At 38.0% G+C, this 14,346-nt stretch overlaps 1 protein-coding gene across 6 annotated transcripts in view; it reads left to right on the top strand.

Annotated features, from left to right (window-relative positions):
* The window catches only part of ULK4 (unc-51 like kinase 4), a 715,505-nt gene that overhangs the window by 148,949 nt on the left and 552,210 nt on the right, over positions 1-14,346 (top strand). For all 6 annotated transcript variants that reach the window (NR_136342.2, NM_001322501.2, NM_017886.4 and 3 more), the window contains one exon: positions 12,862-13,023. Coding sequence is in view for 5 of the 6 variants with exons in the window: in NM_001322501.2 (NP_001309430.1) it covers positions 12,862-13,023 (162 nt within the window). In the remaining variant the exon portion in view is untranslated. The remainder of the gene's footprint in view (positions 1-12,861; positions 13,024-14,346) is intronic.

The raw sequence follows: 14,346 nt of genomic DNA, 5'->3' as shown, positions 1-14,346 counted from the left end.
CTGACAGGCCCCAGTATGCATTGTTCCCCTTCCTGGGTCCATGTGTTCTCATTGAACCTCACATTTTTAAATACAGCATATGCCAGATGTCAGTTCAGTACCCATAATTATATAGACTATTATGTAAGCTAAAAAATGTTGATTAGATACAAATGTATAAATTAATCTTTTCTAGACATGTGGAAATTCTCTAGGGGCTATTTCCAGCTTCTGTGTGGATTGTGGAGTAGGCTGCTACCTGTCCCCCAGAAATGGACACCTTAAACAAAAAGACAACTTTCTCAGCCTCCCTAATGTACACACATATGAAAGATATATTATTTAAATTCAATGCCAAATATTCCTGAGATCAACACAGCAGTGATCCCAAGGAGAAAATTTATCTTTGCTAATGGGCACAAACTTGAAGGGCAAAGCAATGGAAGGGTAAGTCTTCAGACTCAGGGGTGAGGCTCAAGTCAGAAACACATGGAAGATCATTGGCACATGTTTTTGTTTTTTTAAATAGCGAACACCACCAAGTGGAGCCCCCGGGGATTAGTCAATATTAAACCTCTAAGGAGTGGCACATCTGAGACTGAAATTCCCATCTTTTGATTCCCAGCTCAAGATCTCTGAAATCCCAGCACCAGCTCTGAAATCGTTATTCCATATTATCATGGATACCTTTTCTTCTATACTGCTGTACTCTTTTTTTTTGAACAGTTATACCTGATCTTCCTATTTTTGTGTGTGTTCCACCAAAAGTTTTTCACTCTAAATACTTCCCTCTTTCCATCTGATCATTTACATCTGTAACGAGGACAAAAAGATCTAACATGTCTCTCACCCTTGGTTTGTGTTTTGTTTTGTTTTGTTTTGTTTGTTTTTGAGACAGGGTCTTGCTCTCTCACCTGGGCTGGAATGCAGTGGTGTGATCACTGTTCACTGCAGCCTCGACCTCCTGGGCTGAAGTAATTTTCCCACCTCAGCCTCTGAGTAGCTGAGACTACAGGTGTGTGCCACCACGCCTGGCTAATATTTGTATTTTTTTGTAGAGATGGGGTTTTACCATTTTGCCCAGGCTTGTATTGAACTACTGGCTTAAGTGATCCTCCTGCCCTGGCTTCCCAAAGCGCTGGAAGGAATTACAGGTATGAGCCACTGTGCCTGGCCTCCCCATTGTTAAAATTATGGAAATCATGTTCATAAAGCAGGTTGGCCTGTTTGGAAAAGAGTGTCATAATTTCTCAGGTAACTCTAAAATAGAAAGCTACTGAAAATTACTTTAATACATTCATTACAGTCTCAGTATAAGATTATAGCTTCCTCTCCCAAAGCGTAACCACAACATGACGCAGGATGAGGTAGCTTTGAAAATGCTGCATACAATATCCTCTTGAGTAGAATCATAATTTAGAACTCTAGAAATTACCAGAAACAAAACTGTCCAAGTTTGTTTAACCCAATGTGTTCTAACCTATTTGACTAGAAAACCCTTCATTCGTGCAACATTTATTAATACCCCATGGCAAACCTAGTATTCCGTGAATAATGAACAAAAAATTTATAATTTAAAACTAAAATTGCCTTCTAAGCAGAGATCTACGTATCAATAAAATGAAGAAATAAAATTTCCATACTGTTTTCTTTCCAATACAAGGATTAGAAGGAAAAGGAAAAGAGTAACAACCAGAACCAATAGCCCATGTTTGGCCAGGTGCCATGGCTCAATCACACCTGTAATCCCAGCAATTTCAGAAGCTAAGGCAGGAGGATCGCTGGGTTCAAGTGATCCTTGAATGAAACCCCGTCTCTAAAAAATTAAAAATATTAGCTGGGTGTACACCTATAGTCCTACCTACTTAGTAGGATCGTTTGAGCCCAGGAGTTTGAGGCTGTAGTGAGCTATGAGTGTGCTACTGCATTCCAGCCTGGGTAACAGGGTGAGACTCCATCTCTAATAATAAAACTTAAAAAATAAATAAAGGCCAGGTGCAGTGGCTTATACCTGTAATCCCAGCACTATGGGAGGGCTAGGTGGGAGGATCACTTGAGGCCAAGAGTTCGAGACCAGCCTGGGCAACATAGCGAGACTCCATCACTACAAAAAAAAAATTTAAAATTAGCCCAGTGTAGTGGTGCATGCCTGTAGTCCCAGCTACTCTGGAAGTTGAGGCAGAAGGATTGGTTGAGCCCAGGAGTTTGAGGCTGCAGTGAGCTATGCACACTATTGCCCTTCAGCCTGGGCAACAGAGCAAGACCCTGTCTCAAATACATAAAATAAAATGAAATAAAATAATGGCCCATGCTCAGTAAGGTACATTACTAACTTTTGAATGTGAGAGGGAAAAAAAGGAAATAAGCCAATTAACATTTCAATAGATGTAAAAATGAGAACTAGCCCAACAGTTTGAATGGACTGCTGCCACAAAACTATACACTGTTGAGTTAGAATGGTCAATTTTATATCTATTTATCTTACATATAACCACAACTTTATTTTTGTCTTAAATTTTTTAAAATAGAGATAGGGTCTCATTAAGTTGCCCGGGCTTGTCTTGAACTCCTAAGCTCAAGCGATCCTCCTGCTTTGGTCTCCCAAAGTGCTGGGATTACAGGTGTGAGCCACCACTTCTGGCCATTGCCACAACATTAAAGAAAGAGACAGAGAAATAGAACAGACCACATTCTTGACTATTAGGTAACACAACTTTATTTCAACAAAGAGGAGTAAAGGCAATAAAATCCCACCCACCTGGAAAGTTTTAAACCATCTCATAAAGAACCCTAGATGAGGGAAAACTTTAAAATGAGACTTGGGACTGTCTATATAGTAACAATAATGGAAACACTGCATGTCAAAACTAATGGGCTTTCACTAACACTGGATTGAAAGGAAAGTTCATAGCCTTAAATGATTTAATAATGACACATGAAAGAAATAAAACAAATGAAATTACAAAACAATAAAAAGCTGGAGTACAGAACTAGGGATGAAAAGCCATTTCTCTTTCCCAATAAATGAAGACAGGGCAGTGTCTTTCCTATACCTGGCCAGCATATGATATATAAATATAGTTTCATAAATGTTAACTATAAAGAATTAGACCTATAGTGGAGAGCTAAGTTAAGTAATAAACACATTAGCTGAATGTGATCAAGAATTCAAAGGAACTTCAATTAGCTGTCATCTTATTCCAGTGTTTTTAAAATTAAATGTGTTTGTCTTTTACTGTTAATGTTTTCATTGAGTATGTTTTCTATTGTATACTAATATCATTTAATGTTCCTCACATTTATAGATGTACTCTCAGTCAACATCCCAATAGATAAACTTAAGTCGATTTTAGAAATTACATGCAAATGAAAAAGGGCAAAAATAAATTATTGAAAAAAGATTATATTGGTAGGGCAAAACACTGCATATATTGAAAATATATATTAAAAGTAAAGGTTATTAATTTAGATAGTGTGGCACAGAGATAAGTAGGCCAACAGAAACAAATAGAACCTACAAAGAGACATGTCAATTCATATGACAGAGGTGACACTGCAGAGCAGGGGAGAGGAGACACACTTTGAATCAGTGATATGCGGAAACTGATTATCTATATTTACTTTTAAAATCAAAAATAGAACTAAACATAGCACCACACACAAATATAATCTTAGTCTACACGCCTACTTTTTCAATAAAGAGCACCAAAATTAACATCTGAAATACTGACATTTGTTGTTTCACATTTGTGGATTGATCTTTCCTCTAAGCGCTTCAAGGTACCTGGATTTTTTTTTTAACATATTTTATTGTTTTAGTAATTCATTGAACCAAGAACATAGGATTTTCATTTCTTGCAGTATAGTGGACAAGATACCTGGACAACCCTATCCTCTGAAAGCAACTATAAATACTGGATATAAAATAAAAAAATAAACCTTACAAACATCTATAAAGTAGCACCAAATTCTTTTTTGTTTTTTTTTGTTTTTTTTTTTGTTTTTTTTTTGAGACGGAGTCTTGCTCTGTTGCACAGGCTGGAGTGCAGTGGGGTGATCACGGCTCACTGCAACCTCAGCCTCCTGGGTTCAAGCTATGTTCCTGCCTCAGCATCCTGAGTAGCTGAGATTACAGGCATGCACCACCACGCCTGGCTAATTTTTGTATTTTTTGTAGAGACGGGGTTTCACCATGTTGGTCAGGCTGTCTCAAACTTCTGACCTCGTGATCCGCCCGCCTCAGCCTCCCAAAATGCTGGGTTTACAGGTGTGAGCCACCTCACCCGGCTGGCAGCACCAAGTTCTTAAGTCAGCGACTGTGTAGACAAGAACCCTGAGAGGTGCCCAGGAGACTTAAACTGGTGTTTGCCCTGACGGCATTTGTCCAGCAAGGTAAACAAAAAAAATGAGAGGCAAGGCTAACGGCCTGCCTAAGTAGACCAAAATTATATTGGCAGAAAACTTTTTTGTTAAGGCTGCCTACAATATATTAAATCTATTTAACACCATTAAAACATAGCACAGCTCTTCATTAATAAGCCTAGCTATTTAAAAAATAATCTTAGCTTTTATTTTAGTGCTGTGAAGAAATAGGTCTTTGATTTAAGCAATAGGCATTAGCTCAGTTATCTTTCCCAAAGAGTGAGTTAAGCAGAAAATACCGCTACTCTTATTTGCTTGTATGGTATCCCACAGGGGATTGAAGATGGACTAGAGTCACTTATTTCAGGTAGGAGCAGGTTGAATTGGCCTGACAACCTCACTGAGTTTACAGAGCACTGGGATGACACATGGCCCCTTTCCAACCCAGCTGCTAAAATAGTTGTGGTTTTCTAGTACTAGGAATGAGTCCTAGGAACTGACTGACAATTGTGTTGTAAAGCACATGTATTTGAGAAGGCTTCTATAAATAGCTCATTTCCCCCCTACAGTCAGGAAAAAGATTTTAGAACTTCATAAGAAATAAGACAAAGAGCAAGGCATATGGGGCAAAATATTAATATTTTTTGTAGTAAGAACTAGGATAGAGGATACAGCTTATCTCTGTGGGCAAATAGGTTTCGTCATATTGAACCCCACATTAAGGAAGCTTAGCATTCCCCAGACACAGCAGCGGTCTCCAAGTAGGGTACCTGTCCAGTTAAGGCTTACAACTAGGAGATACGCGACGACAACTCTGTGTGGGTGGGCCTGTCCCCAAGGGCGGATGGGGAAGAGTTGAGCTGAGCACTTAGGAATATCCAGTTTTTTCTTTTCAAATTTGTCAAATGGATGTCACATTTTATTTCACCAAGTAGAGTGAATAAAGGAACAGAGAGAGGCTAGAAGTGTTAGGTTAATTTATTCTGGCTGCATTGAAGGAAATGGGAATGGGAAGGAAGAGTTCTCTCAGATAGCCATTCTGAGAAATGAAAAATGTGTTGAAGTTTGGGAAATTGAAGGATATTTAAGATTTCTTTCCTAGCAGTCTTGTAGTTTGTACTATATGGTATTAATAATAATGGGAATAAAAGCTAACATTTATTGAGAATTTACTACTTTTCATGCTCTAGATTGAGTCTTCCTGTGTGCTATCTCATTTAATTCTCAAACCGCTTGTGTTTTGTTAATCTTCATTTTGTAGATAATGAAGCTGGGGCAAAGAGATAAAAATAGTGAAGGATATATAACTAGCAAAATGCAAAAACTATGGCTTGAACTTAGACATTACTCAATATCTTCTGCGCATTTGTAAACGTTTTTATATGAAAAATACATAAATTTGGATTGAAAAAACAGTAAATGCATATTGTAACAAACCAAGCAATGTAAAAATTTCTAAAGTTGAATTAGTGGGCTCCTCCTCCCTACAATCCAAGACCTATTATAATCATCATTAACAGAGTATTATATATCTTTCTTTGCCCTTCCTTTACATATATATTTTTCTTGTTAAATAAATGTAGGATTATGTAATCTTTAATGTATTTTTTATTTTAATTAAGGTATCATATATATAAAATGTTCAGATATTTAATGTATGTGTGTTGTAAATTTTTTTATTTTTTTGAGACAAGATCTGGCTGTATTGCCCAGGCTGGAGTGTAGTGGCACAATCTCGGCTCACTGCAACCTCTGCCTCCTGGGATCAAGCCATCCTCCTACCTCAGCTTCCCAAGTAGCAGGGACTATAGGCGTGTACCATGCTTGGTAGAGACAAGAGGTTTTGCCACGTATCCCAGGCTGGTCTCAAACTCATGAGCTCAAGCAATCCACCTGCCATGGCCTCACAAGGTGCTGGAATTGCAGGCATGAGCCACTGTGCCTGGATGTAAATATTTTTTCCTGGCCTGAGATACTATGAGGCTTAATGGTGTCATTATGAGCAGAAATTTAAAATTTTTATGAAGCTTGATTTAATGCTTTTTCTCTTATGTTTAGTTCCTTTTTGTCCTGGTTAAGAAAGCTTTGCCTAAAATAAAGATGTTCTTTGAAACCAACGAGAACAAAGACACAACATACCAGAATCTCTGGGACATGTTCAAAGCAGTGTGTAGAGGGAAATTTATAGCACTAAATGCCCACAAGAGAAAGCAGGAAAGATCCAAAATTGACACCCTAACATCACAATTAAAAGAACTAGAAAAGCAAGAGCAAACGCATTCAAAAGCTAGCAGAAGGCAAGAAATAACTAAAATCAGAGCAGAACTGAAGGAAATACAGACACAAAAAACCCTTGAAAAAATTAATGAATCCAGGAGCTGGTTTTTTGAAAGGATCAACAAAACTGATAGACCACTAGCAAGACTAATAAAGAAGAAAAGAGAGAAGAATCAAATAGACTCAATAAAAAGTGATAAAGGGGATATCACCACCGATCCCACAGAAATACAAACTACCATCAGAGAATACTACAAACACCTCTACGCAAATAAACTAGAAAATCTAGAAGCAATGGATAAATTCCTCGACACATACACCCTCCCAAGACTAAACCAGGAAGAAGTTGAATCTCTGAATAGACCAATAACAGGCTCTGAAATTGTGGCAATAATCAATAGCTTACCAACGAAAAAGAGTCCAGGACCAGATGGATTCACAGCCGAATTCTACCAGAGGTACAAGGAGGAACTGGTACCATTCCTTCTGAAACTATTCCAATCAATAGAAAAAGAGGGAATCCTCCCTAACTCATTTTATGAGGCCAGCATCATCCTGATACCAAAGCCTGGCAGAGACACAACCAAAAAAGAGAATTTTAGACCAATATCCTTGATGAACATTGATGCAAAAATCCTCAATAAAATACTGGCAAACCAAATCCAGCAGCACATCCAAAAGCTTATCCACCATGATCAAGTGGGCTTCATCCCTGGGATGCAAGGCTGGTTCAATATACGCAAATCAATAAATGTAATCCAGCATATAAACAGAACCAAAGACAAAAACCACATGATTATCTCAATAGATGCAGAAAAGGCCTTTGACAAAATTCAACAGCCCTTCATGCTAAAAACTCTCAATAAATTAGGTATTGATGGGACGTATCTCAAAATAATAAGAGCTATCTATGACAAACCCACAGCCAGTATCATACTGAATGGGCAAAAACTGGAAGCATTCCCTTTGAAAACTGGCACAAGACAGGGATGCCCTCTCTCACCACTCCTATTCAACATAGTGTTGGAAGTTCTGGCCAGGGCAATCAGGCAGGAGAAGGAAATAAAAGATATTCAATTAGGAAAAGAGGAAGTCAAATTGTCCCTGTTTGCAAACAACATGATTGTATATTTAGAAAACCCCATTGTCTCAGCCCAAAATCTCCTTAAGCTGATAAGCAAATTCAGCAAAGTCTCAGGATACAAAATCAATGTACAAAAATCACAAGCATTCTTATACACCAATAACAGACAAACAGAGAGCCAAATCATGAGTGAACTCCCATTCACAATTGCTTCAAAGAGAATAAAATACCTAGGAATCCAACTTACAAGGGACGTGAAGGACCTCTTCAAGGAGAACTAGAAACCAATGCTCAATGAAATTAAAGAGGATACAAACAAATGGAAGAACATTCCATGCTCATGGGTAGGAAGAATCAGTATCGTGAAAATGGCCATACTGCCCAAGATAATTTATAGATTCAACGCCATACCCATCAAGCTACCAATGACTTTCTTCACAGAATTTGAAAAAACTACTTTAAATTTCATATGGAACCAAAAAAGAGCCCGCATCGCCAAGTCAGTCCTAAGCCAAAAGAACAAAGCTGGAGGCATCACGCTACCTGACTTCAAACTATACTACAAGGCTACAGTAACCAAAACAGCATGGTACTGGTACCAAAACAGAGATATAGACCAATGGAATAGAACAGAGCCCTCAGAAATAATGCCACATATCTACAACGATCTGATCTTTGACAAACCTGACAAAAACAAGCAATGGGGAAAGCATTCCCTATTTAATAAATGATGCTGGGAAAACTGGCTAGCCATATGTAGAAAGCTGAAACTGGATCCCTTCCTTACACCTTACACAAAAATTAATTCAAGATGGATTAAAGACTTAAATGTTAGACCTAAAACCATAAAAAGCCTAGAAGACAACCTAGGCAATACCATTCAGGACATAGGCATGGGCAAGGACTTCATGTCTAAAACACCAAAAGCAATGGCAACAAAAGACAAAATTGACAAATGGGATCTAATTAAACTAAAGAGCTTCTGCACAGCAAAAGAAACTACCATCAGAGTGAACAGGCAACCTACAAAATGGGAGAAAATTTTTGCAACCTACTCATCCGACAAAGGGCTAATATCCAGAATCTACAATGAACTCAAACAAATTTACAAGAAAAAAACAACCCCATCACAAAGTGGGCGAAGGACATGAACAGACACTTCTCAAAAGAAGACATTTATGCAGGCAAAAAACACATGAAAAAATGCTCACCATCACTGGCCATCAGAGAAATGCAAATCAAAACCACAATGAGATACCATCTCACACCAGTTAGAATGGCAATCATTAAAAAGTCAGGAAACAACAGGTGCTGGAGAGGATGTGGAGAAATAGGAACACTTTTACAGTGTTGGTGGGACTGTAAACTAGTTCAACCATTGTGGAAGTCAGTGTGGCAATTCCTGAGCGATCTAGAACTAGAAATACCATTTGACCCAGCCATCCCATTACTGGGTATATACCCAAAGGACTATAAATCATGCTGCTATAAAGACACATGCACACATATGTTTATTGTGGCACTATTCACAACAGCAAAGACTTGGAACCAATCCAAATGTCCAACAATGATAGACTGGATTAAGAAAATGTGGCACATATACAGCATGGAATACTATGCAGCCATAAAAAATGATGAGTTCATGTCCTTTGTAGGGACATGGATGAAATTGGAAATCATCATTCTCAGTAAACTATTGCAAGGACAAAAAACCAAACACCGCATGTTCTCACTCATAGGTGGGAATTGAACAATGAGAACACATGGACACAGGAAGGGGAACATCACTCTCTGGGGACTGTTGTGGGGTAGGGGGAGTGGGGAGGGATAGCATTAGCAGATATACCTAATGTTAAATGACGAGTTAATGGGTGCAGCACACCAGCATGGCACATGTATACATATGTAACTAACCTGCACATTGTGCACATGTACCCTAAAACTTAAAGTATAATAATAATAATAATAAAAAAGAAAGCTTTGCCTACTGCAACGTGTTCTTTATGACCTCTTCTAGAAGCTTTATGGATCTAACTTTTACATTTAGGTTTGTGATTCATCTCAAATTAATCTATGAGTATGGAGTTGCTAAGATATTTTTTACGGCCCTGAACATGGTCTAACTTGGTAATGTTTCATGTGATCTTGAAAAGAATGTGTCTTTTACCTTTGTTGAGTGGAGTGTTGTATAAATGTCCAAGTGAGTTAATAGTGTTATCCAATGTCCTTCCTGCCTTTATATCACCTTTATGGACTTATTATTACAAATCTTTTTTTTTTTGAGATGGAGTCTTGCTCTGTAAGCCCAGGCTGGAGTGCAGTGGTGCGATCTTGGCTCACTGCAACCTCTGCCTCCTGGGTCCTGGTTCAAGCAATTCTCCTGCCTCAGTCTCCTGAGTAGCTAGGATTATAAGCACGTGCCACCATGCCCAGCTAATTTTTGTGTTTTTGGTAGAGATGGGGTTTCACCATATTGGACAGGCTGGTCTTGAACTCCTGACCTTGTGATCTGCCTGCTTCGGCCTCCCAAAGTGCTGGGATTACAGGCGTGAGCCACTGCGCCCAGCCTATACATCTTTTTTTATTTAACAGTGTGTAACTCGAATTTATCACAGTTGACCTGCAAGTAATGATATACAAATGCTTACATATGAACCTCATGTATGTTAGAACTTTGTATCAGAACCTTATTTTTATGATGTATATAGTGATATGCAAATTCCTAAGAACCTTACACCAGAATAATCTAGTATTCTCCTTCTAGCCTTCCTACTATTGTCATACATTTTATGTCTACATATGTTATAAAGCTCACAATACATTTTTGTCATTTCTGGTTTAAACAGGTATGCTTGGCTTGGCATAGTAGCTCATGCTTGTAATCGCAGCACTCTGGGAGGCCAAGGCAGGAGGATTCCTTGGGACAAGGAGTTCGAGTTCAGCCTGGGCAACAGAGTGAGACCTCATCTCTGTTAAAAAATAAAAAAAATTGGCTGGGCATGGTGGCACATGCCTCTTGTCCCAGCTGCTTGGGAGGCTGAAGTGAGAAGATTGCTTGAGCTGGGAGATTGAGACTGCAGTGAGCTGTGATCCTGCCATTGTACTTCAGTCTGGGTGACAGAGTGAGACTGTGTCTCAAAAAGAAAAACAGCAGCTGCAGCTTATGTTTAAAATAGGCTCAAAAATTAAGGAAAACAATCTATTATATTTATTCACATATTTACTTTTTTATTCTTTGTTCTTTTGTATAGATTTAATTTTCTTCTCATTATCATTTTTTTCTGCATGAATAATTTCCTTTAATATTTTTGTAGTGCAGTTCTGCTGGTGATGAATTTTCTCAACTTTTGCATTTCAGAATGGTACTTATTTTATCTTTGTTTTTGAAAGATGTTATTTTTGTGCATAAATTTGTAGGTTGACAGTTACTTTTTTTTTCTTTTGGTACTTAAAATATATTGCTTTATTGTCTTTTGTATGTATTGTTTCTGATGAGAATTATCTGTCAGCCTTATCATTGTTCCTCTCTGTGGAATATGCCTTTTTACTCTAGTTGCTTGTAAAGTTTTCTTTTCTTTTTATTTTATTTTATTTTTATTTTTGAGACAGGGTCTTGCTTTGTTGCTCAGGCTGGAGTGCAGTGGTGTGATCACAGCTCACTGCAACCTCCAACTCCTATGCTCAAGTGATCCTCCCACCTCAGCCTCCCAGGTGGCTGGGAGTATAGGCATGTACTACCTTACCTGGCCAATTTTTAAAACTTTTTGTACAGAAAAGGTCTTGCTATGTTGCCCATGCTGGTCTTGAACTCCTGGCCTCAACTGATTCTCCCATCTTGGCCTCCCAAAGCACTGGGATTACAGGAATGGGACATTGCTCCTTGTCCATAAGGTTTTCTCTTTATTCCTTTTTTTTTTTTTAAAGCAGTCTGATTATGATGTACCTTGGTGTCATTTTTCTTTGTTTCTTCTGCGTAGGGCTCATTGAGCTTCTGAGACCTGGAATTACCAGTTTTCATGAATTTGAAAACTTCTCAGACAATATTTCAAGCATTTTTCCAACTACACATTTATTAGGTCTTTTGAAGGCGTCCTACAGTTCACTGATGCTCTGTTTCTTTTTTCTTTTTCAAGTCTTATTTCTTTCTGTGTTTATTTTGGATAGATTTTTATTGTTAGTAGCTATGTCTTCATGTTCACTAATCATTTAGTCTGTAGTGTCTAATCTGTTAATCCCATTCAGTGTATTTTTATTATAAGACATTGCATTATTTATCTCTAGAATTTTGATTTGGGTCATTTTTATATCTTTTGTTTCTCTCCTTATGTTTTTGCTTTCCTCTTCCTTCTTGAGTATGTGGACTACATTTATTATAGCCATTTAATATCTTTCTACTAAGTCTATCAGTCATTTCTAGCGATTGAATTATGAATCATATTTTTTGGCTTCTTTGCTTGCTTGGCAGTGTTCAATTAGATGTTACTCACTGCGAATTTTATATCATTGGATGCGGAACTTTTTAAAATTTCTGTAAGTACTTCTGGGCTTTTCCTTGGACTCATTTATATTACCTGAAAACAGTTGAATCTTTTTGAGGCTAACTTTTTAGCACCGCTAGGACCATCCAGAATGGCTTTTCCTCTAGGATTAATTTCGTCACACCACTGAAGCAATACCTTTCTTAGGACTCTCCTTGATGTCCCTTATTTAGACAATCTTTCCACTCTGATTGATCGGTGCTCAGATTATTCCTAGGACTGAATGACTTCTGAGGATTATTCTGCCTGCTCCGTATGATTTTAAAATTATCTTCCAGTTTTTATGTTATAGTTATTTTGTTTATTTTCCAGATTGTTTCAGCAGTAGTGTGTAGTGGTGTGATCACAGCTCACTGCAACCTTCATGTGAAATATTCCTAATTCTTTGTTTTATTAAAATATATGGAGAGTTATGTTATGATAGCTTGCTAGTGAATAACCAAATGATTATTTGTAATAGTTTCATAATGACCTGAAAGAGTTATCATTCCTCCCAAGTTGCCTAACACATCCAGAGGCATGTTACTGTCTTGGTATCATAACATTATTTACAATGGTCATAAAGAAATAACATGTATTTATTTCTCACACTAATATTATTTTAATCTCCTTTCTCTATAGGAAGAGCGTGTTGTGAATCACATGGCAGCAAAAATTATTGAAAATGTCTGTACCACCTTTTCTGCTCAGTCCCAGGGCTTTATTACAGGAGAAATAGGACCCATTTTGTGGTACCTATTCAGACACTCCACTGCTGATTCTCTTAGGATAACAGCAGTATCGGTAAGATGAAGCATCTTTTGGGGGATATGTCTGGGTATCTTTAAACAGCAAGTTTGAAGAAAATATTAGAATAAGAATAAATTTAATTTAATAGATAGGAAACTGAAATCTCAGAGTAATATTGAGAGAAATAATTTGATTTTCTTCTAAAAGAGAATTTTGAAAACTTGGAACTGGAAAACCTTGAGACTGTGAGAGAATTTCAATAAAACCTTGTTAGGACTATGGTATTATGGTTTCAAAAACTAATTAATAAGTTTATTTATTTTGAGACAGAGTGTCCCTCTGTCATCCAGGCTGGAGTGCAGTGGTGTGATCTTGGCTTACTGCAATCTTTACTTCCCAGGTTCAAGTAATTCTACTGCGTCAGCCTCCCAAGTAGCTGGGACTACAGGCATGCACCACCAGGCCTGGCTTATTTTTTTGTATTTTTGTAGAGATGGGGTCTTGTCATGTTGCCCAGGCTGGTCTTGAACTCCTGGCCTCAAGCAATCTGCCTGCCCTGGCCTCCCAAAGTGCTGGAATTACGTGGATGAGCCACCGCGCCCAGCCTTAAAAACAATTTAGAGGCGATAGTAGAAAACTGTGGCAGTATATAGGGTACAGGGTTTGGTTTGTTATATTTTTAGTGTTCCCTGACTTTTCCCTGTTAGCATCCCCATTCAGATTTTGTGTCAAATGAGTTTATCATGTGGTTCAGATGAATTCATTTTAATGTTCAAGCATCTGTGATTTTGGTGTTTTTGTGTTTTGATGGGTTGCCTACTACTTTACTCACATGGCTATAATAACGTGGTGTAAAGGATAATTATGTATAAAGATGTGTTAACATGCTTGTATCAATTTAATACTCTATTGAACAAATATAACCCTCTCTCCTATGATTTATTTAAATACCCCTTTGAGTTAGCAATCTCATCTGGGCTCTCAAACGCTATGTGGCATCCTTGTTGTATTTCTCTAGTTCAGCTACCTCTTGCACTTCTCTCTGTGGCAGTTTCTTACTTTGTGTTCTTTCCTTATGCCCTCAACCCCTCATTTTCATCACGTATCCTCACTCATGACTTTCCCTTTGCTGCCCAGGGAAAAGTGAAGACATCTAATGAGAACTATCCCAACTGCTTTCTGCCATATAAGTAGACCTATTTACCTGCACATCTGTCCTCTCTCAATTCTTTCCTTCCTGGTACCATTGACAAGCTGTTCCTTCTCTTTTCAGAGACAAACCTCTTCATGTTTCTCCAAATCTTCTTCCTGGTCCCTTCTTGGGAACCTAATTCAAATGGTTATTTTTGCCCTTTCCTGACTCTCAAATGTTTCCTT

Source organism: Homo sapiens, chromosome 3 (genome assembly GCF_000001405.40).
Source record: "Homo sapiens chromosome 3, GRCh38.p14 Primary Assembly".
Classification (NCBI taxonomy): Eukaryota; Metazoa; Chordata; class Mammalia; order Primates; family Hominidae; genus Homo; species Homo sapiens.
This window is presented reverse-complemented; position numbering and strand designations above follow the sequence as displayed.